We start from the raw sequence: 6,000 nt of genomic DNA on the forward strand, positions 1-6,000 counted from the left end.
AGTGCCTGATACAGGCCCTGCCTCAGTGGGACCCTATTGAACTTAGGTGAATTTTAAAGCAATAGGCCAGGTGTGGTGGCTCACGCCTGTAATCCCAGTACTTTGGGAGGCCTAGGTGGGCGGATCACCTGAGGTTGGGAGTTTGAGACCAGCCTGACCAACATGGAGAAACCCTGTCTCTACTAAAAATACAAAATTAGCCAGGTGTGGTGGTGCATGCCTGTAATCCCAGCTACTCAGGAGGCTGAGACAGGAGAATCATTTGAACCCGGGAGGCGGAGGTTGTGGTGAGCCGAGATCACGCCACTGCACTCCAGCCTAGGCAACAAGAGCGAAAGTCCATCTCAAATAAAAATAAAGCAATGTGGATGTGGACCCCAGGCAGCCTTGTAGCGGAGACGTCTTAGTGCCGGGGAGCGTTCAAGCTGGCACCCTCCGCCCTGGGAGAAGACATCCTGGGGGTCTCGTGGCTCAGCCCTCTCATATCTCTCCCAGCTCAGCCTCTAAAACAAGGCCTGCTGTTGGTGACAAAACGCTCTTGGCTCATGTTCTGGGCAATGAGTCACTGCGTGTGGCTGGGCCAGCTTCACAGGTGTGACCCATGCAGGCCCACAGGCCCCGAGCTCAGCAGGCTGCAGCTGGGTTTAATGCTCCACGGTCACCATCTTGAAATTGTGAATAACTTTTGAACAAGGGGCCCCACAGCCTTTCATTTTGTGACGGGCCCTCGGCAAATTCTGCGGCTGGTCCTGCAAGGGGTGGTGCGTTCTCTCCCGTTTACGTTGGTATAGATGAATATAAACGCTTCCTTTCTTTCCTTGCCTGGTGGGGAATGGATCAGAAAGCCAGGGCTGATGATAGAAACCAGCAGAGAATCTCCAAGTGTAAGACATTAGTCAAAGGCCCGGCGTGGAGCCCACAGGTCCTTAGCGTTCGGAAGACGATTGCCTTCCCAGCCCACTCCAAGGAAGAATCAGTGCTGTCTGGCAGCAGCCTCCAGGTGTGTCTCCACAAAGGCCCAGCTTTCCTTTTTGCAAATCAATGACATCAATAATCCGTTACATGGCCTGCAGAGAAGCCCTCTGGCGGCCACTGTGGGGCCCTGTGGGCCTTATGCCTGCTCTTCCTGATCTGGTGGAGGCTCAGAGAGGAGCTAGGACAAGGGATGGTGCCCCTATACCACCCCACCCCCACATACGTGCCTGCAGAAGGCCACATGACCAGGATTATGGTGGGTGAGGGCCAGAGGGAAGGCCCAGGTGAGAGGGTGGAATGTGAACAGGCTGGTTATTTGCGTGCCAGGGACAAGAGAGAAAAAAGCTCAGCATTAGCAGAGAAGACGGACTTCTGCGGTGGCACCTACAGCTGTTCCCTTGGCCTCCCAAACAACCCAGGTGTGACGTCGGGAACCGGGAATGCAGGCAACAGAGTGATTCCAGCTGCCTCACAAGGAAGAGGGTGTGTGGGAAGAGCAGAGCATCCGGGCTGGAAGCACAGTCAGAACCATGCGTGCAGCCGGACACTCATTGTTCTTCCCCACGTGTGCTGGGCACCCGCTCTGCGTCAGGCTCTGTTCCAGGAGTTGGGTGAAACGGTGACTGAAATAGACAGAACTCCTGTCGGTGATGCCCACGTGAGAGAATATAATCAATGGACAATGCACCGCACATATTTAAAATGTGCAAATTGATCCGTTTTGACATGTGAATGTCTGTGAACCAGCTCTACAGTTAAGATGGTGACCATCTCCATCACCCTCAAAGTCTCCAGCTACCCACTGACTGGAAACCACTGGTATGTTTTTTGTCAAAATATATTTCTTTGTATTTTATAGAATTTTGTATAAAGGGGAATTTTTTTGTCACACACTACTCAACATAATTTCTTTGAGATTTATCCATCAATAACTCATCCTTTTTGGTTGCTAAATAGTTTTCCACTGTATGCAAATGCCACCATTTCTTTATCTGTCCTTTATGGATATCAGAATTGTTTTTGATTTTTTTGTTTGTTTGTTTAAAGACAGGGTCTTGGCTGCGCGTGGTGGCTCACGCCTGTAATCCCAGCACTTTGGGAGGCTGAGGCAGGCAGATCACCTGAGGTCAGGAGTTCACGGCTAGCCTGGCCAACATGGGGAAACCCCATCTCTACTAAAAATACAAAAATTAGCCGGGCGTGGTGGTGGGCGCCTGTAATCCCAGCTACTTGGGAGGCTGAGGCAGGAGAATTGCTTGAATCCAGGAGGCGGAGTTTGCTGTGAGCCGAGATCGTGCCATTGCACTCCAGCGTGGACAACAGAGCGAGACTCCATCTCAAAAAACAAAACAAAACAAAAACAGGGTCTTGCTCTGTCACCCAAGCAGGAATGCAGTGGCACCATCATAGCTCACCATAGCCTCAACCTCATGGGTTTAATTGATCCTCCCACCTCAGCCTCCTGAGCAGCTGGGACTACAGGCATGCACCAACACATGTGGCTAATTTTTAAAATATTTTGTAGAGATGGTGTCTCACTGTGTTTCCCAGGCTTGTCTGGAACTCCTGGCCTCAGGTCATCCTCCTGCCTTGGCCTCTGAAAGTGCTGGGATTACAAACGAGGGCCATCACCCTCAGCCCCTCTCTGCAATTTTTGGCTATTATGAATAAAGCTGCTATGAGCAGTCATGGACAAGTCTTTGACATTATTTTGTTTCTCTTGGGCAAATAGCAAGGATGATGTGGTCAGTTCATACGGGAGGTAAACTATTCATTGTTTAAGAGGCTGCCAAACTGTTTCCAAATCGCTGCACCATTCTGCATTCCTCCCGACTGTGCAGGGGAGTTGGCAGGGGCTGCGTATCCGGGCCAGCATTGGCGTGGTCTGTTTCCTTTTAGCCATTCTAGTGACTGTGTATCTCACTGTGGCTCTTACACTCCCCTAATGACTACTGATGTTGAACATCTTTTCACCCACTTATCTGTCAGCCATAAATCTTCTTTGGTAAAGTGTCTGTTCGCCTCTTTTGCCCATTGTTAAACTGGGTCGTTCCTTATTATAGAGTTATAACATACGTCAATTTTCTAGTGCTGCCGTAACACATGACCACAGTTTGAGGGAATTAAAATAACACAAATGTATTTCATCACAGTTCCATAGGTCAGAAATTTGATACAAGGGCTCTCCTGGCTGAAATCGGGGTGTCAGCAGGGCTGCCTTCCTTTCCAGAAGCTCCAGGGGAGAATCCGTCTCCTTGCCCACATGGGCTACTGGCAGAATTGTTTCATGCAGTTGTAGCACTGAGGTCTCTGTTTCCCTTCTGTCAGTCAGAGGTCCTTCTCAGCCTACAGAGGCTTCCCCCATATCTTGGCTCATGCCTTTTTCAACCCCAGAAATGAGGGACTTGAGTCCCTCTCATGCCTGTCCTTCCTTCCATCACATCATTCTCTGACCAACCATAGCCAAAGAATAGTCTTGACTTTTAAGGGCTCATGAGATTAGATTGTGTCCACCTAGATTATCCAGGATCCCCCATCCAAGATCCTGCACTTACTTCTGCAAAGTCCCTATTGTCATGTAATGTGACATATTCACAAGGTCCAGAGATTTGGACCTGGCAATCTTTGAGGACAGTTATTCTACCTACCACATAAAGCTTCTTTATTGGGCCAGTGTGGTGGCTCCTGCCTGTAATCCCAACACTGGGAGACCGGGACAGGAGGAGTTCTTGAGCAGGAGTTAGAGACCAGCCTGGGCAACACAGCAAGACCCCATCTCTACAAAAAGCAAAAAATTAGGCCGGGCGCGGTGGCTCACGCCTGTAATCCCAGCACTTTGGGAGGCCGAGGCGGGTGGATCACGAGGTCAGGAGATCGAGACCGTCCTGGCTAACACGGTGAAACCCCGTCTCTACTAAAAATACAAAAAATTAGCCGGGCGTGGTGGCGGCTGCCTGTAGTCCCAGCTACTCGGGAGGCTGGGGCAGGAGAATGGTGTGAACCCGGGAGGTGGAGCTTGCAGTGAGCTGAGATCGTGCCACTGCACTCCAGCCTGGGTGACAGAGTGAGACTCTGTCTCAAAATAAATAAATTTAAAAACTAAAAATAAAAAAATAAAAAATTAGATGCATGCAGCAGCACATGCCTGTGGTTCCAGCTACTAAGGAGGCTAAGGTGGAAGGATTCCTTGATCTCAGGAGGTCGAGGCTGCTGTAAGCTATAACTGTGGCCACTGCACTCCAGTGTGGGTGACAGAGCTGGACTATCTCAAAAACACACACACACACACACACACACACACACACACACACACAACCAAAAATCATTATGCTTTCCCCATAAAACTGCTTAAGTGCCTTTGTTGGAAATCCATTGACCATAAATGTGTAGTCTTTCTGAACTTTCTACTGTTTTCCCTGGATCTACAACAGGTCTATATTTATGACTATACCACACTGCCTTTGCTACTGTAGCTTTATAATATTTCTTGGTATGAGTAGTAGCTTGGTGCACTTTTCCAAAGTTGTTTTGGCTATGCTAGATCCTTTGTATTTTCATATAACTTCTAGAACTAGCTTGTCAATGTTTAGCCCTATCCCCACTCTCCCAAAAAAGGCTTCCTGATATTTTGGTTGGAATTGTGTTGAGTCTGTACATCAACCTGGGGAGAACTGATGTCTTAACAATATCGACTCTTCCAATCTGCTCAGTGTATCTCTCATTTATTTACATCTTTAATTCTCACAGCAACGTTTTGTAGCTTTCAATTACAGAGCTTGCTCATCTTTTGTCAAATATACCCCCAAGTATTTCATGTATTTGATGGTACTGTATATGGTGGTGTTTTCCAAATTTCCCATTCCAAGTGTTCATTCCTGGCATATAGGAATACAACTGACTCTTCTATATTGACTTTGTAGAATGCTACCTTCCCGAAACTCAATTATTAGTTCCAGTAGCTTTGTGGTAGACTCCTTAGGATTTTCTACATAGAGAAACATATAATCTGTGAAGAAAGCCTTCTTCCTTTCCACCCTGGAGGCCTTTTCTTTCTCTTGCCTTGTTGCACTGGCCAGAATCCACAGTGTAATATTGAACAGAAGGGAGAGGACACCTGTGCCTTGTTCCTGAGAGGGTTACTGAAAGCCCCAATTGCCACTGTGGATTTGTCTATTTCCCCTTGCAGTTTTATCCATTTTTCCTTCCTATATTTCCTGTATTTTGAAGCTGTTATTAGGTGCATAGGTATTTAGTATTGTTATATCCTTTTAATGAATTACCCCTTTATCATTATCAAATGACTCTCTTTGTCCCTTGCAATATTCTTTGCTCTGAGATCTCCTTTGTCTAATATTAATAGAGCTGCTTCAGGTTTATTTTGATGTGTGCGTTACCATGGTGTATTTTTCTCCATCTTTTCACTTTTGTCTTTATATTTCTCATAAGCAATAGTATATAGTTGTGTATGGCTTTATAATCCAGCCTAACAATATCTGTCTTTTAATTTTGCAGTAGGCAATTTGCTTGTTTTCCCTTGCTCGTGCTTTTTGCTTTTTAAGTGTAATTTTAGAGGATGCATGAGATTCCTCATGATATTTGTGCTGAGATGTAATTCACATGCCATAACATTTACCATTTTAAAGTATGCAATTCAGTTGTTAGTACACTTGTACAACCATCACGATTATCTAATTCCAGAACATTAGAATCACCTTCAAAAGAAACCCTATACTCATTTTCAGCCACTCCTTGTTTCACCCATCCCCCTCCTCCCCCCTCAAGCTCCTGAAACCACTGTGAATGGTTTCCTGCTAATCTCTCTATGGATCTACCTGTTCAGGACGTTTCATGTAAATGGAATCACACCACGTGTGGCCTTTTGTGTCTGCCTTCTTCCACCTAGCATATTGCCGAGGTTCATCCAGGTTGTAGTGTGTCAGCACTTCATGCCTTTTTATTGCCAAGTAATATTGTGTGGATTCACCAGTTTTGCTTACAGCTGATGAACATCTGGCTTGTGTCCAC

General features: G+C 46.7%; 1 annotated feature.

Annotated features, from left to right (window-relative positions):
* Window positions 108-730: an enhancer, noted in NCBI's record as "H3K27ac-H3K4me1 hESC enhancer chr17:78097302-78097924 (GRCh37/hg19 assembly coordinates)". NCBI's record gives its function as "activates a minimal SCP1, AML or CMV promoter by ChIP-STARR-seq in naive H9 embryonic stem cells {active_cell/tissue: H9 hESC(naive)}" and the evidence as "EXISTENCE:reporter gene assay evidence [ECO:0000049][PMID:30033119]".

The sequence above is a fragment of the Homo sapiens genome, chromosome 17, assembly GCF_000001405.40.
Source record: "Homo sapiens chromosome 17, GRCh38.p14 Primary Assembly".
Lineage (NCBI taxonomy): Eukaryota > Metazoa > Chordata > Mammalia > Primates > Hominidae > Homo > Homo sapiens.